General features: G+C 43.6%; 1 protein-coding gene and 1 pseudogene across 1 annotated transcript in view, besides 3 other annotated features; one reads left to right on the top strand and one right to left on the bottom strand.

Moving 5' to 3' along the window:
• Positions 401–984, bottom strand: RPL9P31 (ribosomal protein L9 pseudogene 31; annotated as a pseudogene).
• Positions 2,566–3,108: an enhancer, noted in NCBI's record as "H3K27ac-H3K4me1 hESC enhancer chr18:56296340-56296882 (GRCh37/hg19 assembly coordinates)". NCBI's record gives its function as "activates a minimal SCP1, AML or CMV promoter by ChIP-STARR-seq in naive H9 embryonic stem cells {active_cell/tissue: H9 hESC(naive)}" and the evidence as "EXISTENCE:reporter gene assay evidence [ECO:0000049][PMID:30033119]".
• ALPK2 (alpha kinase 2) overlaps positions 3,125–26,034 on the top strand; it is a 147,845-nt gene continuing 124,935 nt past the window's right edge. Inside the window, exons 1-3 of the mRNA NM_052947.4 lie at positions 3,125–3,452; positions 20,399–20,527; positions 24,777–24,894. Of these exons, the coding sequence (NP_443179.3) occupies positions 20,419–20,527; positions 24,777–24,894 (227 nt within the window). The 5' untranslated portion in view covers positions 3,125–3,452; positions 20,399–20,418. The remainder of the gene's footprint in view (positions 3,453–20,398; positions 20,528–24,776; positions 24,895–26,034) is intronic.
• Positions 16,604–16,673: an enhancer, noted in NCBI's record as "active region_13398". NCBI's record gives its function as "activates an Ori minimal core promoter by ATAC-STARR-seq in GM12878 lymphoblastoid cells {active_cell/tissue: GM12878}" and the evidence as "EXISTENCE:reporter gene assay evidence [ECO:0000049][PMID:35858748]".
• Positions 19,871–20,741: an enhancer, noted in NCBI's record as "NANOG-H3K27ac-H3K4me1 hESC enhancer chr18:56278707-56279577 (GRCh37/hg19 assembly coordinates)". NCBI's record gives its function as "activates a minimal SCP1, AML or CMV promoter by ChIP-STARR-seq in primed H9 embryonic stem cells {active_cell/tissue: H9 hESC(primed)}" and the evidence as "EXISTENCE:reporter gene assay evidence [ECO:0000049][PMID:30033119]".

Raw genomic sequence — 26,034 nt, 5'->3', positions numbered from 1 at the left:
TTGAGGTATTTTACTGAATTATTAAACATCACACATAGGTCTGGGGAATCATCTGGCATCTTGTTTGTGTAGCTGGACAACTCTTAGATCTTATTTATCAGGCTGCTGAACCGTTCCTTGTTCAGAGATACAGATACCCTCCAAACATTTTCTGATTTTTTTTTTTTGAGGTAAGATCTCACTCTGTCACCCAGGCTGGAGTGCAGTGGGCATGAATACGGCTCACTGCAGCCTCAGCTTCCTGGGTTCAAGCCATCCTCCCACCTCAGCCTCTCAAGTAGCTGGGGCTACAGGCACACGCCACCACACCTGGCTAATTTTTGTATTTTTTTTGTAGATGGGGTTTCACCATATTGCCCAGGTTGGTCTTAAACTCTTGAGCTCAAAGGATTCACCCGTCTCAGCCTCCCAAAGTGCTGGGATTACAGGCATGAGCCCCTGCTCTTTGCCAATATCCTTGTTTTTAACTGTTGTGGCTTGCTGAATTAAAGCAGCTGAATTTGAAACAAGTTCAATATCATTTCCTTCAAGAACTAACTCGTCTTTCTGGGCTTGAGATACTGAATGAGCAACACCTGGCCTCATCCAAACCCTGCAGATTTATTTTTCACCCAAGAAATTTCAGATTTCAACAAAAGACTCCTGGCTAACAATGTTGATGGGGAAGTGCGCATGCACAGCTCTCGTCTTACAACAGAAGCCCCGTGCAGCACCCTGGATCATGTTCTGTTTGTGACTACAAATAGTGCCAATGGTATCCAGGTCCTTTCTATTTCCCCACACTTTGTCAACCTGGAGCCTCTTCTTTTCCTTTCTAAGGAGACTGAATTCTCCACTGATGTAAGTGAAGTCCCTCCACAGGGTTCCTCTGGGGCCCTTCACAATAACTGTGTCCCTTCGGAGTGATGTTGACATCTTTGGGAATGTCAAGAGTCTGATTGCGAAGAATGGTCTTCAATCTTGCAGTAGATGTGATAAAGAGAGTCATGTATTTTTTGATGCTATTAGCAGGGCACAGATACATGCCTTTCTTTTTCTCTTCAACGTCTTACTTCTTCCATCCCTCCTTTGATATTCACAGAAAATTCAGAACTAGTGTCCTGGTCTAATTTGAGGTTTTTTTTTTTTTTTTGAGATGGAGTCTTGCTCTGTCCCTCAGGCTGGAGTACAGTGGAGTGATATTGGCTCACTGCAACCTCCACCTCCTGGGTTCACACAATTCTCCTGCCTCAACCTCCTGAGTAGCTGGGATTACAGGCGTGAGCCATGACACCCAGCTATTTTTTATATTTTAGTAGAGACGGGGGGTTTCACCATGTTGGCCAGGCTGATCTTGAACTCCGGACCTCAAGTGATCCACCTGCCTCGGCCTCCCAAAGTGCAGGGATTACAGGCCTAATTTGAGTTTAATTCCAAGATTTCTGTTTCTGATTTTCTTTCATGCTTCCTCCCCGACACCTAAGATTAAAACATAAATTCTGTGGCTGTAAATTCATGAGATGAATAAAACAAATACAGTTAAATCCATTATATGTATGTATGTACGTGTGTGTATATATATGCATGTATGTGTGTATGCATGCATGTATATGTGTGTATGTGTGTGTGTGTGTGTGTGTGTGTATCTATATATGCACATATATAAACCTTCTGCTCTTTACATTTATTTTGCTAGGAGATGAATGTTGGGAGTTGAGGGAATTGGTTTTTCAAATTATTTCAGAGGAACAAAATTAAGTTTCATAGTGAATTTCAACTTTTCCATTTAATAACTCCCAGGCAACACTTCTTTCACAACCATATCACATTTATCTATTGCTTTGGGACATTCCTTCACTTTTGACTTTATTCTCTCTGTGGTGTGCGACAGCATTTGTTTATTCTTTATCATCACACTTTCCTCCTCTCTTCATTCCCAACTTGAAGTTATCTCCTCTTTCTTATCTGGAAAAGACCTTACATTGTGAAGACCTCAGCTTTCCATAAAGCCGACCATTTGCAAAGAGTTGGTAATTTCTGTGTTCTGTGGCATTTCACAGATGTGTTCCCCAGGAGATAGTCATTATTTTACAGTGCCTCAGCTTTAATATCTTTTTTCTCACATGAAGATAAAACTGAAAAACAGAACATATCACCCCTACATTTCTTAATATTTTATCGTTTTAGATGAGTTTTCATCTTGTGAAAAGTTGCATTCCATCAAGGGATAATGATGTACATTCTGTGCTGTGTAAAAACAATTTGCTTTTGAGGATTGCAGTGCCCTACACAGAGTGAATATTTACAGCTATGTCCCTTTCAAAGTCACCCCTGGAGCTGCTAATTTGAGCTGTCTCCACGAGTCTCAAAAGAGGTTTCTGTCTAAGCTGTCAATTTCCAGGTGTCATACATTAAAATATTTTTGGGGAGAGGCTAAGTAGTTACAGAATGATGCTAAAGGATTCTCTATGTTTTTGGACTTGGATAAACTTCAATAAAAGAATTGCCCATATTACAAAATCTACTTTCCCAACAAGAACCATTCCAGGCAATCTGAAGGAATAGGACCTGTGGTATTTCTTCTGTGGATTTCTTCTGATCTTTGTCTGTTCTCTTCTATCGTAGTCAAAATAGGAAGGGGTGTGTGTGTGTGTGTGTGTGTGTGTGTGTGTGAGAGAGAGAGAGAGAGAGACAGACAGACAGACAAGGGGTAAGGGGGGGTAAGCAGGGTGAGGAGGGTGGATCCTGCCTTCCTTCTGTGGCTTCTGCCTTTCTCAGAGAACTTCAGAGGATGGCTATAATGCCTGTTCTAAATGAACAACATATGACACATATTTTCACCTCCCCAACACCCCCTCCACGGGTTTCCTATGTGTACTTCAAATGCCTGATAACCTTGGTATGAGAACTGGTTGTGTTACTCCGGCCTTAATCCCTTTATCAGGCAGCAAGTTTTTCCTTTCCTAAGGAGCGAGCAACTAAGCCCAGGGTCCAGCATGGGCTTTGTAAAGAGCTGCTCGGTCTCCTGAGCAGCAGCCAGTGACAGCTCGTCTGGGTTTCATCAGCTCCCTGGGGCTGCATTTCACCAGGCCCCCTTGCCAGGGCCTCCCCAGCGTGTCGTGTCAACAAGTGTCGCACCTACTGCAGAAACAGCCCTCAAGTTTCATCACAGGGATGCTAAAATATATTCTCCAGCTTCAGCAATGACCTAGTTCACTGAAGGGCGGGGAAAAAATGCTCTTCTTCCAGAACTTCCCCGGGCATGGAATTTCCCCTCTTAGGAAGAGATGAACTTTCTGGAAGCAGACCCATCTATGCTTTGACCTGATCATGGAAGACCCTGAGCCCTATAAACTCCTTTGAATCCCTGTCCCGGGAACAGGGACACCCAATCAATGCCTCACACACAGCCTGGGGAATCCACAGCTGAGCCAGCCCTCCTACAACATTTCTTGGACAAAGAGTACTGAAAAGTAAGTATGTAGACTTTGGTTTTTACATAAGGAATGGCTGTGCTTTCAATATATAGTTGTTTACATTTTCTGCAACAAAGAACAAAGCAGATGGTTTCCTGATGAAATAGAATGAGATGAAACCAATAGGGATTATATGGGATATTTGGGCATATAAGGTTTTAAAGTGGGCAAACTCTCATGGTCTTGTAATTTAAGTCCATTTTGACCCTTTTTGAAAATTATTGCTATTTTTAAATTTGCTTATTTTGGCTTGACAATAATGAATGAAAACAGTTTCTTTCACATCATGTCTATCTTAACAGTTAGAAAAAATATACAGAATGACTCAAACGAGTGATATGTAAAGTTTTGCAAAGCAACATAAAAAGTCAACTATCCAGGTAACTCAGGCCCCAGAGACTTTTGTCTGAAATATTTGAGTATTTTAGTCAAGAGTTATTCCTTTTACTGTGAATTAACTGAATGATTGAAAATCTCTCCTATCTGGGTAGACACAGGAGTATATTGTCTGACAACAGGTAATGCAATTTGCTGAAAAGCTATCAGGCTTTTCAAAATGGCTGATGTAAACATTTATCGAGTTGTTAAATAGATTTAAAAAAAAATTTAAGGCAAAAAGTCAGCCAAAAAAAAATCCATCAATTAAATGCCACCACTGTCACATTACAATTTAATGAACACATCTAAACTTTAAAAGCCTTGATTAAGGGTGTCAGTTACAGACATTTGGCAATCATTTAAAAATAGATAAAAGCAAGAACGGCATTTAGAGCTGCTTCTGCTCTAATTATTTTCTTTCCACAACCTTTTCCTTAAGTAAAGGTAGCCTTTATTTCTAAAGATTAATTAACCAGGAATGGTCATTCCAGAGATATGTGATATGTTTTATAACTCTATATCAACTAAGGACAAATTGAAGGGGTTTTTTGCTGTGTGGCTTCTGAATTGAAACCAAGGATGTTGTGGGTTACCTTCCGAATCAACAACTTCACAAATCCTGTATTAAAAAGCATGGATGGCCAATAACCATGTTCAGATCTTGGAAATCAGGACTTAAAACAAACTAAATGAACTTTAGCTCCCAAATATACATTGTCCTTTTTTTGTTTTGTTTTGTTTGTTTGTTTTTTGTTTTTAGATAGAGTTTTGCTCTTGTTGCCCAGGCTGGAGTACAATGTCTCAGTCTCAGCTCACTGCAACCTCCGCCCCCTGGGTTCAAGCGATTCTCCTGCCTCAGCCTCCCAAAGTAGGTGGCATTACGGGTGCCTGCCACCATGCCCAGCTAATTTTTTTTGTATTTTTAGTTGAGATGGGGTTTCACCATGTTGGCCAGGCTGGTCTTGAACTCCTGACCTCAGGTGATCCACCCGCCTCGGCCTCCCAAAGTCTTGGGATTACAGGCGTGAGCCACCGCGCCTGGCCTACATTGTCTTTTTGATGTTTTTACCAAACATTTAATCATAATTTTGGGAAGCTTTTAGGTAGGGCAGAGTTCCTATTGTCATTACCTACAAAGTTTTTTTCTCCTCCAGTTTCATGAGTTTTTAACAGCCTCCTGAACACTTGTGTGTAGGTATCAGCCCCTGTGATGCGATGCAGTTGAGTTAGTATCTTACTCTGGATGGAGGTGGGAGAAGCAGGGGAGGTCCTGAGAAAGGCTTTGGAGTCAGATTTGGAATCGACTCCTAATTTTAGCATAACTTTTCAACCTGTTTGAACCCCAGTTTACTCATCTGTAAAATCTTAACAGTATTCACTTTAACAGGATTGATGGGGGATTAGATGAATAAATATACCTAAAGTATGTGTCGAATCATAGTTTCTCAATGAAAGTTAGTTTTTCACCTTAATTAAAAGCTTCTGTCTTTTTTTTTTTTGCTAAAACTTTAGAATACTACCATAAAATAAACTATATAAAGTAATAGAAACTATACATTATCTGCATCAGTGCAATACAACATAACACAATTAGATTCTTTGAGAAAAATTCTGTACTTGGAAACAATGTGTTTGAAAATTAAAAAAAGATATTTTAGAATGTATCTATGATAAATAAGAAAAAATTTTTTTTTACTAAAAATAGTTGATGGATAATTGATGCTTATTATCTAAAAGCAGAAGTAGAGATTTATCAACATCCTCTGGGAATGCTTTTTAATACATATCATTACCATATTTAAATATGAGTGTTTGGGAATCCATAGTAATGAAAGGCCTGTGATCATGATGAAAACTATGAAAATGAAGGCACACGCCCAGCCTTTCCTCAAAGATTATAGTCGAGTCTTGCATTGAGAGAGGTGGGGGCGGGAGTGGAGGTGAAAACTCTTTGAAGTGGACTAGCCTTTGGAGGAGCAGAGCAGGGGCAGTAGCTTTGGGCCAACTCAGAAGAAGTGTAGTTTCCAGGATAGGGATCGCACCGTGGGCTAGAATTGCGCGGGGTCAGTGATAAAAGTACACAATGAATAGGGAGAAAGGCCAGGCAGGGATGGGAGGGAGCAGACGAGATTCACAAGCGGGCTTGTGGGCTAGCTCCCAAGAACTTTATCAGACATCTTTCTTGTTGCCCCTTGTTTTTACTGAGATACCCCACAGCTCTTTCCCAGGCCCATTGGAGTACCTCGATACATTCTTCGCTTCGGTTACAGACAGGTTCACAAGGAACCCAGGATACGTTACTCTGGGTTGAATGCTGCCAAAAAGAAAAACTGAAAATGCAAACATGTAAAGCAACTTGGGAGAACGTAATCACGTCATCTTAGGGTTGGCGAAAACGAAAGAATAAACACCTGACCTACATCAAATAAAACATTTAAACATGTTTCAAGCCCTTATTGGGATTTCCGCCTATGCACACCCACCTGGCATGGGCCAAATAGACAAAACTGATCAGGAGACTTCAGACATCAGCTCGAAGAGACAGGCAGCAAGTTGAAGAGAAGCTCAATTCCGAGAGTTCAGTTCTGGTTACACTGCACCCTCCCTCTCAAGGGCCAGCCCTTCCACTGCAATCCTCATGTCCTGGCTGCACAGCCCACCTTGATTTTCACTTGATTTTCAATCCTGCTCTTAGATAACCAGGCCCCTGCTCTTAAACACGCTCATTTGCTCCTCAACCCCTAGTTTAAGACCTTCCTGAGTCCAGCGGTTCTTAAACTTTCAAGTGCAACAGAATCTAAAGAGCTTGTTAAAATAAAGGTTCCTGGGCTCCATCCCCAGAGTTTCTGATTCTGAAGTTTCCAAGAATTTGCATTTCTTCCTTGTTCCCAGGTGATGCTGATGGCGTGGCCCAGGGGCCACTCTGAGAACCACTGCTGTAGCCATTTCTTCGGCCTGCAGTTCCTGAAGAAAACCTATTTGTGCTTATTCTTTTCAACCACCAAACTTTCCTTACTTCTCAGGGGGTGCCAGAGACACAGATACAGTGTGCCAGTGCTGTAAACATAAAAGGTTAACCCATCAGGTGCCCTGCAGGCAAGCAGTTTACAGTCTAGCTGCTGGGGGTGACACTGAGTGTGGGGACAATATGCTGAGGCTAATGGTCTCTAGTTTTTAGGGGGCTTTTTTTTTTTTTCAGCTGAGGGTATCAGGGAAGCCTTCAAAGAGAAACCAGCATTTGAGCTAGGGGTTTGAAAACCTGGCGGGGTTTCTGAACAGATTGAGATGGAAAGTGGTCCTTCTATGTAAAGGAAATCCAGAAAAGCAAACTAAAAACATGGAGGGCAGAAAGAGAAAGAATGAATATGGAAATCAGAAATTAGTGTGGTTGGGCTACGCTTTTCACACTTCTCCTCCCCCGCCTTCTTGATGATGAAAGAATTGTCAAGAGTTAGATGGTTTTGATTAAATCATTTAATCTTCAATCCATTACTTCTGTCGGTAACTTGATTGTAACTTGATGTCCAACATAGAGATCTGGAATGGAGAGCCAAATGATAGGAATTTCAGGCACTGTGGGCCAATGAGGAGAGGGTATGCCTTCTAGAAGCAACAAAGAAATCAACTTGGCTGGGCTTGGTGGCTCATGCCTGTTAATTCCAGCATTTTGGGAGGCCAAGGTGGGTGGATCACTTGAGGTCGGGACTTTGAGACCAGCTTGGCCAACATGGTGAAACCCTGCCTCTACTGAAAATACAAAATTAGCTGGGCATGCTGGCACACGCCTGTAATCCCAGCCACTTGAGAGGCTGAGGCAGGAGAATCGCTTGAACCCGGGAGGCAGAGGTTGCAGTGACCCGAAATCGTGCCATTGCACTCCAGCCTGGGCAACAAGAGTGAAACTCTGTCTCAAAAAGAAAAAAAAAAAAAAAAGAAAGAAATCAACTCAAACTACCTAAATCAGTAACAGGGATTTATTGCTCATACCATGGAAGAGTCCAGGACTTTGGTCAGGACCCTGCTGTTTCCTGCATTTCTGGAAGCTCTGCTCATCTCTGTTTTGGTTTTATCAGGCCAGCTTTAGCACGGTCTCAAGATAGCTATTGGCCTTCGCTGAGGTTCACATGCTTTCCTTTTTCTGTGGATGACGGAGTGAACAACCTAAGCTTTGCACTGACTTGGTCACCCCTGAACTACTTTTTGGAGAGTGCCACATGTGATTGGCTTAAACTTTGGTTAATGACTCAATCAGTGACCAAGAGCACCACAGTTTAGACCAATCAGAGCCAACAAAGCAGGAAGGGTGAGGAATCGCCAGCCGAGTCCCCAGGCTGCTGAGTGATGGAAGAGGCTTGATTAGGAGGACAAGCGAATGGCCACTTTAGGAGATTTTAGATATTTTGGAGAAAGGTCTCTGAAATCTTACCACTTCTTCCCTTAGTTATAAAGTTAGCCATGGGGAGCATTTATACTTTAAAGATTTAGGATATTACTGCTAAAGGTAAGCCAGAAAAAATTTAAAAAAAAATTAGGATGGGCATGCTTTAAAGTTCAGCCCAGACAAGTTAAAATGTTCTTCCACAGAACAGTCCTGCCTCAGAAATGGAATGAACCAGCCAGGCACGGTGGCGTGAGCCGCCTGTAATCCCAGAATTTTGGGAGGCCGAGATGGGAGGATCACTTGAGGTCAGGAGTTTGAGACCAGCCTGGCCAACATGGCAAAACTCTGTCTCTACTAAAAATACAAAAATTAGCTAGGCATGGTGGTGCATGCCTGTAATTCCAGCTACTCAGGAGGCTGAGGAGGGAGGATTGCTTGAGCCCAGGAGGCAGGGGTTGCAGTGAGCCGAGATTGTACCAATGCACTCCAGCGGGGTGAAAGAGGGAGACCCTATCTCAAAAGAAATAAAAAGAAATGGAATGAACCGTTGGCTGCAGTACTGCACCCTACGGCCCTTTTTATTGGATGTGATGTTCCTTATCTCTAAGGCACACTTTATTTACTAGAACAAGATTAGATAAAGAACCATTAAAAATCTTCTGTATTGGGAGTCTGAGGTGGGTGGGGGGATTGCTTGAGCCCAGGAGTATGAGAACAGCCTGGGCAACATAGTGGGACCCCATCTCTATTAAAAAAAAATCTTCTGGAAATAAGGCAAGTGGAGGCATTATATGAAAAGTGTTCCCCTAAGACACTCTGACTGGCTGGGTTGAAGGATGAGGGTAGAAGGTGGCAGAGATCAGACTACCACTCTCCTGCGAAACTTCCCTGTCCTCACACCACTGCTTTTTTCTGACTGGACTTGCTGACAGGTGGTTAGTTCAGCATAATAAGTTCTAGCTCAGTTAACTACACTCGGGCTCAGTTAACTACACTCAGGGTTGGTCTTATTTCTGTCGGGGGGCGGGGAGTGAGACAGAAGATAGCCTAAGATTTTCCAGGTTCTCCCCTATATTGTCTGATGCCAGAAATTCCACAGCATTTCACCTCTTGGTCACATTGAAAGTAAACATTCTCCCAAGAGGGATTAGTTGGAGCGGCTTTGGAGTTTTCATTACAGGGGAGTGAGGGTGGGAACATAAGGAGCCTGGGCAAATGTGGAGGATAAGAGGAAAACGAGCCAGAGAGGGGCTTTCTTTACTGTGAAATGTTTGTGATGACATTGACGACACATTCCTAGACTGGACAGAGCAGTCGGCCCATGACATTCAACTTCAAACCAAAGTGATTTTAATCAGTTAACTCAAGGAAGTGGGTCCGATTACAGCACTGTCACACTTTGTATGTTTATAGCACCATAAGTTCTCCTCTCTTCCCTGTCTTTACCCCAAGATAGGCAAGAGGATGTATCCTTTCAATGCAGTACATGGAAAATCAGAGTCAAGAAACCTGGACTCTGTCACTAACAAGCTGTGTGACCTTGGAAATGTCACCTAACCTGTCTGTGTTTCAGGTGCATTTTTCAGTTGTAAAATCAGGGGAGGTACTAAACTCTCACACAGGTTTTATTTATTTATGTATTTAATTATTTTTTTGAGACAGAGTCTTGCTGTGTTGGCCAGGCTGGAGTGCAATGGTGCGATCTCGGCTCACTATAACCTCCATCTCCCGGGCTCAAGCAATTCTCCTACCTCAGCCTCCCAAGTGGCTGGGATTACAGGTGTGTGCCACCACACCCGGCTAATTTTTGTATTTTTAGTAGAGATGGGGTTTCACCATGTTGGCCAGGCTGGTCTCGAACTCCTGACCTCAGGTGATCTGCCTGCCTCGGCCTCCCAAAATGCTGGGATTACAGGAGTGAGCCACTATGCCCGGCCTCGCACAGGTTTTATTTAACCTTGAGCTTTTTTTTTTTTTTTAAGCCCTCTCATAAAGATTGGAAACTGCCATACATTTTAAACAGCAGGGGAGAGGAGAGTCAGTGGAAAGACTCTTCCACCTAAAATAAATTCAAAACAAATCCAGAGGGAGCTGCTGCCAGCTCAGTATTCACCACGTCTGTGTGACAAATTGTGCACCCAACACACTGTTGGGCACATGGAGGTGCTCACTATTAATATTGAAAAGTTAGCTTTTACTTGTTTATTAGGTAAGATACATAAATTCAAGGTATCCAGAAAGATATACAAAGACTATCACTGTCTCCAAATGGCATGCCTTCTTTCCACCCCCCACACTTAGGCCTCCTTCCAGGAGCAACCAAGCTACTGCTTTCTCGTGTATTTCTAGTCAATATATGTATAAACAAGCATATAAGATTCTTTTCTCCTCCTCCTCCTCCTTCTTCTTTGCCCATAGAAGTGATCACATTGGCCTGGTGCAGTGGCTCACGCCTGTAATCCCAGCACTTTGGGAGGCCGAGGCGGGCGGATCACGATGTCAGGAGATCGAGACCATCCTGGCTAACACAGTGAAACCCTGTCTCTACTAAAAATACAAACAATTAGCCGGGCATTGTGGCGGGCGCCTGTAGTTCGAGCTCGGGAGGCTGAGGCAGGAGAATGGTGTGAACCTGGGAGGCGGAGCTTGCAGTGAGCCGAGATAGTGCCACTGCACTCCAGCCTGGGTGACAGAGCGAGACTCCGCCTCAAAAAAAAAAAAAAGAAAGTGATCACATTCCCTGCACTCTTATACATTGTTTATTTCATTTAATGTATCCCGGAGATTATTCCATATCAGTGCATTTTTTTTATTCCATTATCAGAGTCTCATTTTTTTTTTTTTGTTTTGAGACAGGGCCTTGCTCTGTTGTCCATACTGGAGTGCAGTGGTGCAGTCACGGCTCACTGCAGCTTCAACCTCCCAGGCTCAAGCCATCCTCCTGCCTCAGCCTCCTGAGTAACTGGGACTACAGGCATGCGACACACCCGGCTAATTTTTGTATTTTTTGTAGAGATGGGGTTTCAGCATGTTGCCCAGGTGGATCTTGAACTCCTGGGCTCAAGCGATCCACCCACCTCGGCCTCCCAAAGTGCTGGGATTACACACGGGAGCCACCGTGCCGGGCCTGTCTCGTTCTTTTTAAATGTATATTGTTGTTAACAAGAAAAAAAGATTCCATTCTTTAGATATACAATAACCACATTCCTATTGATGGACATTTAGCTTTTGCTATCACAGGCAACGCCGCAGTGAATTTAGTAGGGGCTCATTAAATTTTTGCCTCCTTGCTCCTATTTTTAAAATTAACTTTATAAAGGCATATTTTGTATATCATATAATTCACCATTTCTAATTGCTAAATGCAATGATTTTTTTTAAAAAGCAAATGTACTAGGTTGGGCAATCATCACCATAGATTGGTTTTAGAAGATTGCCATCACCTCCAGAAGATCCTTCAGGCACATTTATTATTAGCATTCTCCCCACTGCCCTCACCTCCAACCACCACTGATCTACTTTCTGTCTTTATAATTTCTATTGGACACTTCATATAAATGGAATTATATTGTATAATTATATTGTATAATTCCATTTATTGTATGGTCTCTTGCGTATGGCTTCTTTCACTGAGCATACTGAGAATGTTTTTGAGGTTCATCTATGTCATACCATGTATCCATAGTTTTGTTTTGTTTGTTTTTTTGTTTTGAGAAGGAGCTTCGCTCTGTCGTCCAAGCTGGAGTGCAATGGCGTGATCTCGGCTCTCTGCCACCTCCACCTCCCGGGTTCAAGAAATTATCTTACCTCGGCCTCCCAAGTAGCTGAGATTTCATGCACCCGACACCATGCCCGGCTAATTTTTGTAGTTTTTAGTAGAGACAGGTTTCACCATGTTGGCCTGGCTGGTCTCAAACTCCTGACCTCAGGCGATCTGCCCACCTCAGCCTCCCAAAGTGCTGGGATAACAGGCGTGAGCCACCGCGCCCCACCGTATCCATAGTTTGTTCTTTGTTATTGCTCAGTGGTATTCAATTGTATTGCTATGCCACATTTTGTCTACCCATTCACTAGTTGGACCGTTAGGTTATTTCCAATAGACATTTAGGTTGTTTCCAATTTTTGGCTATTATGAATAACCCTGCTAAGAACAGTTGTGTGCGAGTCTTTGTGTGAATATACATTTTCATTTCTCTTGGGAAGATAACTTGGAGTGGAATTGCTGGGTCATTTGGTAAATTTATGTTTAACTTTGAAACACATTTCCCGTTTAGAAAAAAACAAAAAGTGCAGCTTGCTGCCAGTACTCAATTTTACATAAACACACTCTTTGAGGCTGAAACAAATTTGGCTGATTTTCAATGTGAAAATAAAATATAAAAACTGTTTTTGGAGTTATTCCTAAACACAATTTATCTCTAATTCTAATGTAACAGAAACGTATGTAATATTACATTAGGATTGGAGACAACAGTATTCTCGGGGCAAACGGGAAATGGATTAAGAAACTGCTAAAGTGTTTTCCAAACTGTCTGTACCACTTTTACATTCTCACCAGCAATGAATGAGGGTTCTTGTTCTTTTCCACATCCTCACGAATATTCCACTCCAGCAAATCTGGACTCATGTTTCAGCTCTGCCACTTGCAGGCTGTGAGAAGTTATGCTTCTTACACCAACCTTTAGAAGTGACTGAAGCTTCCAAGTCATTAGCTGGGAAATAGCAAAGAACACCCACCAGACAAGTTCACTGTGAAGATGAAATACGATCTTGTCTGTGAAGTGCCCAGCCTTGGGGCTGACACACAGTAGGCACCCGAAATGTGTTAAGTGTCTCTCCCGACATGGTCTTCTTCCTCCCCATGCAATTTACAGAAACCATCTTTGGATAAGGTTCCCTAACTAACACGGGACTGGGTATTAGGTGACAGAGGGTGCGGTGTCCAAATCTACAGTAACTGAGATGGCAAATTCAGGAAGACAATTGCCATTGGATTAGGCTGGGTAATCAGAACTAATCCCTCCTGTCCCCGCTGAGTAGGCGCCCTGACTGCTGGCTTTCCTGCCAGCTCCACAAGAGCCGGTTACCTGTGGTCTGCTTGTGAGCTGTGACCTCTTCCCTGATCCTTTCAGCTGACAGCAAGCTTTTTGGTGACAGCAGCCATGCGACTTGCTGACTATTGAGGGTAGGGGAAGGGGGATGCAGATTGCAGGGGTGCAGGGGGAAAGGGGGATGCAGATTAGTCAAAATAAAACGTGACATCACTTGAGTGTTTTAAATATTCAAATAACGCTCCTATAGCCTTTGTTCTACAACAATTTGAGAGAAATACATTATTTTTTCATCTTGCCAATGTTAAACCCAAAGCCACTGGCAGCGGCTAACACTTACATAGTGCTTACTTTATATACTATTCAGAAGAGCATTACATAGACTGACTCAAATTCCATAATGGTCAAATGAATAGATACTGCTATTATCTTAGTTTTATAGAAGAAGTGACTGAGGCAGAGAGATGATCAGCTACTGAGTGGCACAGCTGAGGTTTGAGCCTAGGGAGCAGGTACAGGAATCCACGCCCCACATCATCACATCACTCTGCTACCTGTTAAAGGTCCTGCCCATTTTAGAGTAGCTATTAAAATGTGATATGTAGGCCAGGCGGGGTGGCTCATGCCTGTAATCTCAGCACTTTGGGAGGCCGGGGCCGGTGGATCATCTGAGGTCAGGAGTTCGAGACCAGCCTGGCCAATATGGTGAAACCCCGTCTCTACTAAAAATACAAAAAATTAGCCAGGCATGGTGGCTTGTGCCTGTGATCCCAGCTACTCAGGAGGCTGAGGCAGGAGAGTCACTTGAACCTGGGAGGTGGAGGTTGCCGTGACCCGAGATCGTGCCATTGCACTCCAGCCTGGGCAACAAGAGCAAAACTCCATCTCAAAAATATATATATATTTTTAATGTGATATGTGAACAGTCTTCTCTCTGGTAATTCTATTTCTTGGCATTTAGGCTAGAGACCAGTTATGTGTCTAAGGAAGCATGTACTAGGATGTCATTGGAAGTCTGAAACACTCCAGCCAAGTTATACATCAATACAAGAGCAGATGGGTTAAGTGGGATATTGCTATACTATGGAATACCAATATTTAGCAGCTTTCAAAAGCTGATAGAGAGCCTTACGGATTGGGTTGACACTGTAAGATTGCCAAAACTTATTATTAAGCAAAATAAGCCAACTGTCAACAAAGCATGTACCATACATACCAACATACATATATACCATTCATGCCATACATACAACAAAATTATCATATATTTAGATGATTATATGTGTAATGAATAGAAAAAAATGCCTAAAAGGATACCAGATTCTTCCTCTTGGTAGAGAACTGAGATGGAGAGATGATGCCTCTGGGAGACTTTACCTTTATATGTATTTTTAAGAACATAAATGTATCCACTTAGGATCAGTATAATTAAAGGTAAATAAAATTTTTAAAAAGAAAGAAGTTGGCTGGGCACAGTAGTTCACGCCTGTAATCCCAGCACTTTGGGAGGCCGAGGTGGGCAGATCGCTTGAGGCCAGGAGTTTGAGACCAGCCTGGCCAACATGGTGAAACCCCGTCTCTACTAAAAATACAAAAATTAGCCTGGCGTGGTGGTGCACGCCTGTAATCCCAGCTACTCAGGAGGCTGAGGCAGGAGAATCGCTTGAACCCGGGAGGTGGAGGATGCAGTGAGCTGAGATCGTGCCATTGCACTCTAGCCTGGGCGACATAGTGAGACTCTCTCAATAAATAAATAAATAAATTCAAATACAAATAAAAAGAAACTTGCCACAATCCACTGTTTAGGGAAAATCTCTCTCAAACTGTTTTTTCTCTGCTCTCCCACCACCACAACAACAATCATCAACACGGAAGAAGAGGAAGACTTCCGTGACCAAAGTTGTGGTGGATTTACCCCATACGCCAAGCTGCAGACACTGGTGGGTGTTCTCGGCTTCAGTTCTGACTCTGTCCACCTGGAGATAGTGTCAGATCCCACAGGTTGTGGGCCCAGTCCCCAAGGCTACTCCTCACCCACCCCCCAAGCCCCCGGAACACCAGCTGCAAGTCAAGGCTTCTGGAACTTCTGACTGACTGGCTTCAAGTTGGGGTTCCCATGAGCACCTCTTGGGGTTAATTTGCCAGAGTAGCTCACAGAACTCAGGGAAACACATTTACTGGTTTATTACAAAGGTTATTTTAAGGATACAAGTAAACTGCCAGATGCAGAGAACCACAGGCGATTTTGCAGAGATCCATAGGCGATTTGCAGGAGCTTCTGTCCCCATGGAGTTGGGATGTGCCACCCTCCCAGTGTGTGGATGAGTTCTTCACCTCCTGTCAGCCTCCACGTGTTCAGCTCTCTGGAAGCTCCCCAGACCCTGTCCTTTTGGGTTTTTATGGAGGCTTCGCTACATAGGCACGATTGACAACTATGTAGAAATGTGATTGGACAAAAAGCACCTGATCTGAACCCAGCAAGGCCTGTCTGTTCAGACTTTTCTTGGCATTCGTTTCTCTGTGTGGCATTCTTTCCTCTAGAGTAAGAGGCAGGAATGAGGGTCTTTTGGAATAAGGGCCTTTTGACCACAGAGTCCTGCCTTGGACAGGTAAAAGAAGGATAGAAGGTCAGAGAGAGAGATTCTGTTTCCCAAGGCCAAAAGTGCCCCAACATTATAACAAGGACTATGGGAGTTAGGAGCCAGGAACTGTGGATGGAAACCAATAAATATACAGATATATCATAACACCATAACCACACAGCAAAAAAAGAAAAGAAAAAAGGCAAATCCAGCATTCTTTCCAATTAACACATTGTTTTCCCAAGGTCATCTGTGAAGCCTACCACAAACTCCTCCACTAATACCAATAATTCAATATTGATTGTTCATCTCTAGCAGAGAATGATAAATCTGTCATCAAGGGTTCTCACCTTCAGAGAAGCCACGAAACACGAGCCACAGCCTGACTTAACTGTCCTTTTCCTCTCCAGAGTACAGTCAGTGCTCTGTGGCTCAGATATGTGGTCACTAAACTGACTATGTGAGTCAAATAGTGTGTGTTTGTCAGTATTTTCACATGTGGGACAACACTGTCAGGAAGTCATCACCTGGGGAGGAGTCACAGATGACACAGAAGCTCCTCAACGTCAGCCCAGCTCTTGACAGCTGGATTTATCCTTTCCTCCTTCTCCATCCATAGCAGTGATCTCCAGGAATGAGAATGGAAGGTCATGTCCTGTAAATTACTATTGCAGGTGACAATTACACCCAGAGACATTTTTACACATTAGTTGGTATATCACTTTAAAAAAGAATCATTGTGGTAACCCACAGCAGAAAAGGAAACTGATGAAACAAGTGAACTCTTTCCTTATACTACGCTGATTACCATTATGAAAACTAATTATGTAACAGATATTTACAAGGCAATTGACATACATTATTCTAATCCTTAGACTATTATCATTCCCTCCTTTTACAGATGAGAAGGTAGGTTCAATGCCTTGCCTTATAATTGGCAGAGCTGGATGTAGATTTGTTCCTGGCAGGTGGCAAAGCCTGTATTGTGTTCACAGTTCTATGGGGCCTCCTGGTCAGGAGGGTGTTTTCTTGCTATGAGAGCTGCCCTGCCCGCCACTGTCCCCCTCCATTTGAGTAACTTCCCTAGGAATATGAAGAGTGGGGTAGTCATCCCTCTGTCTCAACAGTTGCTTCTGAAAAGCATTGCTGATTGGCCACAAAAAGGAATGAGGTACTGATACAGGTGACAATATGGTCAAACCCCAAAAACATTGTGTTAAGTGAAAGCTTCTATTTATATAAAATGTCCAGAATAGGCCGGGCTCTGTGTCTTCTGCCTATAATCCTAGCATTTTGGGAAGCCAGGTGGGAGGATTGCTTGAGCCCAGGCATTCAAGACCAGCCTGGGCAATGTAGTGAGACCCTGTCCCTACAAAAAAAAAAAAAATCCATAATAGACAAATACATACAGACAGAAAGTAGATTAGTGATTGCCTCTGGCTGTGTGTGTTGGGGGGGAGGGTGGAAATGGGGAGATGAGGAGGTAAAAGGGGTGTAGGGATTCTCTAGAGTAATGAGAATGCTCTAAAATGGATTGTGGTGACGGTTGCACAATTCTGAATATAGTGAAAGCCATTGAATTGTACAACTTAAATGAGTAAATTGTGTATGGTATGGTAATTATATCTCATTAAGGCTGTAAGAGAGCTGGGCATGGAGGCTCAAGCCTCTAGTCCCCACTACTCAGGAGGCTGAGGTGGGAGGATGGCTTGAGCCCAGGAATTCAAGACCAGCCTTGGGCTGGTATTAAATCTGGTTTTTTAAAAATACCAATTGATATCCATTCCGTAACCACCAAATGTACCCGTAACCTAATCTGGAATGGAGGTATTTATTTGCTATCTAGCAGATGAATTTTCTTCCTGTGCTGTGCAACTAATTTGCCATTATGCTGAGAGGGGATTACTATGCTCTGAAATACCACATGTATGAACCGGAGCCCCATGTCATCCAGCCTCTGCACAGCTACATTTAAGAAGTTCTATAACCAAAAATAATTGGAAATGTAAGTCATTTGTTAAAGAATGTCAAAAGGACCCAATTCACAATCACAATGCATAGTTTCTGAAAAATCTTCAGTTCAGCCTCTCTTGCTCAGTCTTCCACACCTGTCCCAGCAGGTATGTCTCTCAAACCTCTCTCCCATCTCATGTGTTCTGCCCCACACCCAAGCAGTTTTCTCTCTTTTCAGTGCCACCATGTCACTTCTTCAACATTACGGCTCTTTCCACCCATCATGTAAGTTAATTTAACTTCAGGTTTAAGCACAAAGTTGCTTCCTGCACACACTCTCCCTGAGGAAGGGAAGGCAGTGTATTCCCCTTAATTAATTTATTTTTTAACCCTGATATTTACAGAGTGTAGGTGCTTTATGGAGGGGCAGTTTGGGAACACTTTTTGGGAAATACAGTTCACACCATATTTCTAAACAGAACATCTTGAGATTAAGGAAATGCTGTGGGAACTTCCAAAGCAGCAGGAGTGATCTCAAAAGAAAGCACTAGAGGCATTTGTGAGCAGAATGCTCCAAGGGCAGCATCCACCAAGCAAGGTGGGCCTCATGGGCCAAGATCTGTGTCTTCACACGGGGCCCTGAGCCCAGAAGGGTGCCGTCTTTTTATTTTATTATTATTATTATTATTATTATTATTATTATTATTTTTTTTTTTTGAGATGGAGTCTTGCTCTGTCGCCCAGGCTGGAGTGCAGTGGCGTGATCTCGGCTCACCGCAACCTCTGCCTCCCAGGTCCCGGTTCAAGCAATTCTCCTGCCTCAGCCTCCTGAGTAGCTGGGATTACAGGAACGAGTCACCATGCCCAGCTAATTTTTGTATTTTCAGTAGAGACAGGGTTTCACCATGTTGGCCAGGATGGTCTTGAACTCCTGACCTTGTGATCCGCCCGCCTCAGCCTCCCAAAGTGCTGGGATGAGAGGCGTGAGCCACCATGCCGGGCCAGGTGCTGTCTTTGGTTTAATGCTCTGCTGTCACCATCTTAAAATCCTTAATCCTGTTTGCACAAAGAACCCCTCATTTTCATCTTGAACCGGGCCCTGCAAATTATGTTGCTCATCCTGCTACTACAGCAAGGCTCCTCAAACATCATTGGCCCTGAACTCAGGTTCCTTTTCCCTCTACTCACTTCTGCTCATCAGGAGATTTTTTAGGTGTTGGTGAGACCTTGAACTGTCCTCGGGGAACTCGTCTCTCAGGGTATCTGAGACAATCTGGAAAAGTGGGAAGAAATAGGGAAGAACTGTTTCTAAATGGGTAAGAAGCTGCTACTGACACTCATATGGAAAGGGGTGTCCCTTTGGCAATACAGCTGTGGCTGCTTTAATTTGGCCTCTCCTACCAAGAGCTTAGCTCAGGTGTCTGCTTTGGGGACCTCAGCATCCCTGGATTCAGGATTTGCAGTTCCTAACCGCCCCTTCCCTGTTCAGGCTAACCACACTGTAGTGTGGTTCTTTTCTTTGTCCGAGCTCTGTGGTGTGGGAGAACCGCCTGCCATTGTGAAGAAGTGGACGCTACTGTGTAGACAGAACTAAATGCCCTTTCTAAGCTCAGGGCTCCACAAAGGAGAGGTCTGGCCAAGTGAAGCCAGCTTGTATCTGCCGGTAGCGGTAGCGTGGAAAGGAAAGGGTTCTCTGGATTCAGACCAACCTGCGCCCTCAGGGCTGGCTCATACTTGTGCAAGCTGTGCCCTGCAAAGCTCCAGTGGTGTCTTACACATTGAAAGTGTCAGCCTGCACAGCCCTGAAGGACAGCCCCAAGGTGGCTGCCACTTGAGCTGTGTGATCTTGAGCAAGTTGTTGAACCTCTCTGAGTCTCAGGTTCCACCTCTGTAAAATGTAGGAGACATTAGTAACTATCCTTTAAGTAGCTTCAAAGAGATTAAGTGAAATAATATATCTGGTGACTAATCAAGTGTTTAGTGCCTGCCTTCCCCTAGGGCACCCACCTGGTGCTCAGAAGGAGCAGTCATATCCTAATTTCAAAATATCTCCTCCCTGGACATCATTTCAACACAACTGACATGTTTTTTGGAGGCAAAGACATATGCACACTTTTTTGAGCACAGTGTGAAAAGACTTTAAGAAGAGAAAGGAGGAGGAATGAGAGGAGGTGGCACTAACCATAGCCTCATGGGATGCTTCCCTCTCCATTGGAACTCTGGGTGCTCTGGGGTCTGCCTAGGACAATAGGATTCGTGGTTCTTAATCAGGGCACCCCCCCATTCCCCTGCAGTGTCTGCAGACATTTTTGATTGTCACACATGGAGGGGTGGGGGTGCTATTGGCATCTGGTGGGTAGAGGCCAGGCATGCGGCTAAATATCCTGCAATGCACAGGACATCCCCGAAATACAGAAGGATCCAGCCCACCTACCAGCAGCACCACGGCCTGGAAAGGCTGCCCAAAGACCTTCAGTCTGCCCACCCTCCAGCGTGCAGTGAGCTGCCAGGGCGGCACCCTGTGGTTTCTGGAATTCCTAAGAAGGCCAGAGAAATCCCAGAACAAATGGTGATGTCGGGGATTTTTTTTTTTTTCAGATTTGGTGCGGCATGAAAGGATGAAAGACTCCGAAGGGCCCCAGAGGCCCCCGCTGTGTTTTTTATCTACATTGCTTTCCCAGAAGGTTCCTGAGAAGTCAGACGCTGTGCTTCGCTGCATAATATCTGGTAACCATCACTAGACTAGCTAATCACCCTCTAAAATCTCCCTGCATACCAGGTTTCTTGGCTCACAAAGGCATTACTAAAACATCATTTGGGAAAATTACCTTGGAAGTTTTTTTTTCTGTGTAATCAATGAAGCAACTCCATCCTCTATGATTTGTTTCTAAAAGATTTCTTTGAGTGACTTCCTGGACACGATTTAGTGATCTTTACTTCACCTTGTGGTTCTGGGTTAGGCAGCTCTCACACTGGTTATTTTTTTCAGATAATCCACTCTTAATTTTCTTTCTTTCTTGGGTGTCCTTAACCATAGTTTAAATTCATGGAGCACAGAGGAATGGCATGAATCACTTTTTTTCGGTAAATTGATGGAACTCTTCTGTTATTCTTTAATTGACTTTTTTTTTTTTTTTTGAGATGGAGTCTTTCTCTGTCACCCAGGCTGGAGTGCAGTGGTGTGATCTCGGCTCACTGCCACCCCCGCCTCCTGGGTTCAAACTATTCTCCTGCCTCAGCCTCCCGAGTAGCTGGGAATAGAGGCACGCACCACTGTACCTGGCTAATTTTTTTATTTTTATTTTTATTGTTTTTTTTTTTTTGAGACAGAGTCTTGCTCTGTTGCCAGGCTGGAGTGCAATGGCACGATCTCAGCTCACTGCAACCTCCGCCTCTTGGTTTCAAGCAATTCTCCCACCTCAGCCTCCCAAGTAGCTGAGATTACAGGCACCCGCCACTACACCCGGCTAATTTTTGTATTTTAGTAGAGATGGGGTTTCACCATGTTGGTCAGGCTGGTCTTGAACTCCTGACCTCAGGTGGTCTGCCTGCCTCGGCCTCCCAAAGTGCTGGGATTACAGGCGTGAGCCACTGCGGCTGGCTCGCCTGGCTAATTTTTATATTTTTAATAGGGACGGGGGGAGGGGGGTGGTTCACCATGTTGGCCAGGATGGTCTCCATCTCTTGACCTCATGATCTGCCTGCCTTGGTCTCCCAAAGTGCTGGAATTACAGGCGTGAGCCACCGCGCCTGGCCCTAATTGATATCTTAAAACTGGCTAAATTAGTCTCTCCTCTGCACGCCTTCTTCAGGGATGCTAATAAGAAGTGAAAATCTTAAAACAGAGGCAATGGGTGACCAGTGGAGAAAAAACAGGGGACTGGGATTCTGGATTGGTGAATAAATAACTCAGAATTGATCAAGTATGGGTACTCCCAATGGTAAAAGGATTTATCATTAAAAGAACATAAACATAAAACAATTGGGTAGGGAAGTGATATCTTGTACCTCATGGGTGGTTCTCTTTTCTTTTTTGGATTATGTCTCTACCCTTGAAAACATGAAGGTGCCAATGGTGTTTCTTGAGGGCAGACAGAAAACTCTTCTCCCCTTGCTCTTTTTTTTTTTTTTTTTTTTTTTGAGACAGGGTCTCTTGCTCTGTTGCCCAGGCTGGAGTGCAGTGGCACAATCTCAGCTCTCTGCAACCTCCACCTCCCAGGTTCAAGCAATTCTCATGCCTCAGCCTCCCAAGTGGCTGGGATTCCAGATGCACACCACCATGCCCAGCTCATTTTTGTATTTTTAGTAGAATGGGGTTTCGCTATGTCGGCCAGGTTGGTCTCTGATCCCATTTTTCTAAGTCCAGAGAGGAGAGGGGTGAGCCTCAGAAACGGCTGCCTTTCGCTAGCAGAAGTTGTCATAAAACCTCGATTTCAGCCTGGAGTTGCAGTGTAGAACTGTGCGCTCAGCCTCTCCAAGCCCAGGCTTCTGTCTCCGTGATGGTCCATCGTCATTCAGACAGACAGAACAGTGCAAGCTGACCTTGAGTCTTCAGAGCAGAGCCCTCGTGTGTTTGGACATGCCCTGAACTTGGCTGTGGTCCCCTCGCCCAGATACTTCTGAAATGTTTAGGAGGTGGCTCTCAATGTATGACCCACAGTAGGTTCCAAAAACAAGGGGAGGACTTTCAGGTGAGGTTTCCAGCAAGTGGCAGGAGAAAAGAGAACCACCCACAAGATACCAGATACCACTTCCCTATGCAAGTCTCATTTCTGGCTGATTGTTCAGATCTATACTGCACAGGGGAAAAAAACAGTCAGCCATTAGGAAACTGGGGGAAATCAATCAGCCCTCATCAGCCTGAATGAAAAACTGGAATCCAAGAGATCAGAATGAGTTCCCAGGCCCAGCTCATGAATATTTTATGTATTTTCTTCAAAACAGCCACGTACCCACAAAAAGGAGGAATTCACTGCTTCCTATAAAGGAGTGTGATGAAACAGTCTTAAAGGAGGACACAGGGTTGACAAGAACAGGCAGAAATGAATTATGATCAGAAACCCCTTGATGGTTTTTCAGGGAAGCCCATTTTTTGGTGTCTTTTTATAGGCAAATGCCTGTAAGAGGCTCAGCCACGCAGCTACTGGAGGATTTATCCTTGCATGCAGGTCTATCTGTTCCAAGCCCCAGGGTAACTACTCAGGTGTTTACCTGAAGGAGAAGGCAAGGAGGAAAAATCCACAGTTGCCAAAAAAGCGCATTCATGGCATGAGCACAGTGGCAGCCTAGCTGGGAGACACAGGGAGGGAGGGAGGGAGGGAGACTTAGCATTTTCAGGTCCTGCTCATGGTGCAGGTGCAGGTCTAACGAACTTTTTCTTCCCTCTGTACTTCGTTTGTCTTTCCTCTTTCTATGGAGTTCCGTTTTTTCTTTTCTTTTCTTTTCTTTTTTTTTTTTTGAGACAAGGTCCCACTCTGTCGCCCAGGCTGGAGTGCAGTGGCACAATCATGATTACAGCTCACTGCAGCCTCGACCACATAGGCTCAGATCATACTCCTGTCTCAGCCTCCCAGGTAGCTGAGACTACAGGTGTACACCACCACACCCAAATAACTTTTGTATTGTTTCTAGAGATGAGGTTTTGCCATGTGGCCCAGACTGGTCTTAAATGCCTAGACTCAAGTGATTCACCCCCCTGCCTCGGCCTCCCAAAGTGCTGGGATTATAGGCGTGAACCACCATGCCTGGCCAGAACATGCGGTTCTCATCTTAGTGGTCTCTGGAGTTGCTCACCAAAAATCACGCAATAAATAAGACAGAAATACAAGAACGTTCCTAAGACAGATTAAGAATGGTGTATTGTTTCCAAATACCAGGCTTTCCTTCCTGTGCATATGGCACATTTTGACATATTTTCAGTGACATGAAGGCTAATGAGAAAGCTCTTTGGAACACAATGGAAACCTTCCTGCTCTGTAACAAGAGGGAAAAATCCCAAGGGGTGGATGAAATTCCCGGAGGTTTTACCGGATTAGCCCATTAACATCACGTCCCATTATTGAACACCAGGGAAGGATGAATCTTTTCTAAGAGAGAAAGTGTAGGTCAATTTCTGTGATGATATCAGTAACATATGCATAGCATCAGTCTGGGAAGCCTACATTCCAAACTCTTCATCCTCAGGAAGAAAGTGGCATTTGCAAATCTACTTTGTTCTCCTCTCTTTTGTGCCATAACTAACGCACTAACTTTGAGCACTATTAAAGTATAATTTTCAAAAAGGTAAGGTGATTCCCATGCAAATATGAAATACACATTTTAAAGATTTTATTCAACTAATTAATTAGAGAAGAAACCAGAAACTATTAAAGTTTGAGGAGCTAGGTGTGTATAGGCAATTTAATAAAGGAATGTTGGGGTAAAACTGCTGGGTTAGGTGTAGCACTGGTTAATGTCCTACAGAGCAATAAACAATAACTTATAGGATTATCTTTTCTCCTAGATGGAAATTATTTGCATTTCTATTGGATAAAAACCTACAAATTAACATATACCTTCACTTTAAATCAGTAGTTATCATTGAGTGAAACAAAGTATATGACCCAAGATCATGCTTGGATGGGCCTTTGCCTTCATATGACATTGAAAAAAGATACTATTCATATCTTTGCCTTATTTCCAAGTATTGGAAAATTTTTCTTAATAGCACGTTGAGATTAGGGGTAGCATTTTTCATTTTGTATGCCACCCATCAGCACAGCACCATCTTAGGTACATAACATGCTCAATAGTGTCTGCTGAATTACGTGTTTATTTGTATCAACAAGAAGAAGGCTTTTCAATTCCTCACCTAACGTAATCCATCATCCTCATCCCTGTTGCTTACTGTCCATCCTTGTTCATAGCTTTATGGGTTTTTTTTTTTTTCCTAAAAATACTTAAACTAATAAGGATACTTTTCTTTCTTTATTGTCAGGTCAGCCCAAGCCAGAGGTAACTTGGTATAAGAATGGTCAGGCCATCGATGGGAGTGGCATTATTTCCAACTATGAATTCTTTGAGAATCAGTATATTCATGTGTTACATCTCTCTTGGTAAGTGGCTATACCCCTGTGGACTGTTTACTAATATCCTTATATTCTGTCATGTGCTGATTACTATGAGGTAAGGCCAAAAGATTGGCTCATATTTGCTTCTAGAGTCATAATTTTAGATGCCATTGGCAGGCATCTGCCAAAGCACCCAGCAATGATGATTTCCTGAGCTCTGCTCAGTAACTAATTATATTCCCCTAATTTGCTGCTGTCAATGGAGTTAAACTTTATCTAGAATTTTGTTCAAGGTGATCCAGCCATTGCCATCCATTAAATAAGCTTTTCATTTCATCTTGATCTCTCTGGAAAGTGAAGAAAGTGTGATAGGATCTCAGCATTGTTGTCCAAACTTCCATGGGTAGGAAGAAGGAGAAGTGGCTGACTATGATCCCACAGCACCTTGGTGGTGGAGTTCAGGCTAGAAACCATACCCCCTGGCTTTATTTTAGGAAGTAGTATGGTCCTGTACAGTGATTTCGAATTTTTTTTTGTTCCTCCAAGAACTTTTGTTTGGATAAAACCAGGAAACTCAATAAGTAAAGGAGAGAAAATGAGAACTGCTCAGGGTGAAGCTGGGTAGGGGGTCTGTGCTTTTGATCCTCAATGCTACTAAATTGGTCACAGTGCCATTATGGGGCTCTGAGGAGCCTGAGGGTTCTTCAAAGCATGGTATGAAAATGACTGGTAGGCATGGGAGTGTGCTGATAGCGTTGAGTCTGAGATTTAAAAAAAGACTTACTGAGTTCCAGCTCTACCATTTTCTTGCTGTATGACCTTGGCCAGTTGCTTAACCTCTCTGAAACTCAATTTCATCATCTATAAAACAAAAGGCTGACAGAGTTAAAGAATGTAATGCTTGTAGAAGTTTCATTGTAGAGGAGTTGTTCATAAACACAAAAGCTTTCTTATCTCCTATCTAGTCCTTTGTTTAAAGTAACAGGCTGAGCATGGTGGTGGCTCATGCCTGCAATCTCAGCACTTTGGGAGGGTGAGGCAGGAGGATTGCTTGAGGCCAGGAGTTTGAGACAAGCCTGGGCAACACAGTGAGACTTCATCTCTACAAAAAAATTGAAAAATTAGCTGGGCATGGTGGCTCGTGCCTGTAGTCCCAGTTGCTTGAGAGGCCAGGGTGGAAGAATT

This window comes from Homo sapiens, chromosome 18, assembly GCF_000001405.40.
Source record: "Homo sapiens chromosome 18, GRCh38.p14 Primary Assembly".
Classification (NCBI taxonomy): Eukaryota; Metazoa; Chordata; class Mammalia; order Primates; family Hominidae; genus Homo; species Homo sapiens.
This window is presented reverse-complemented; position numbering and strand designations above follow the sequence as displayed.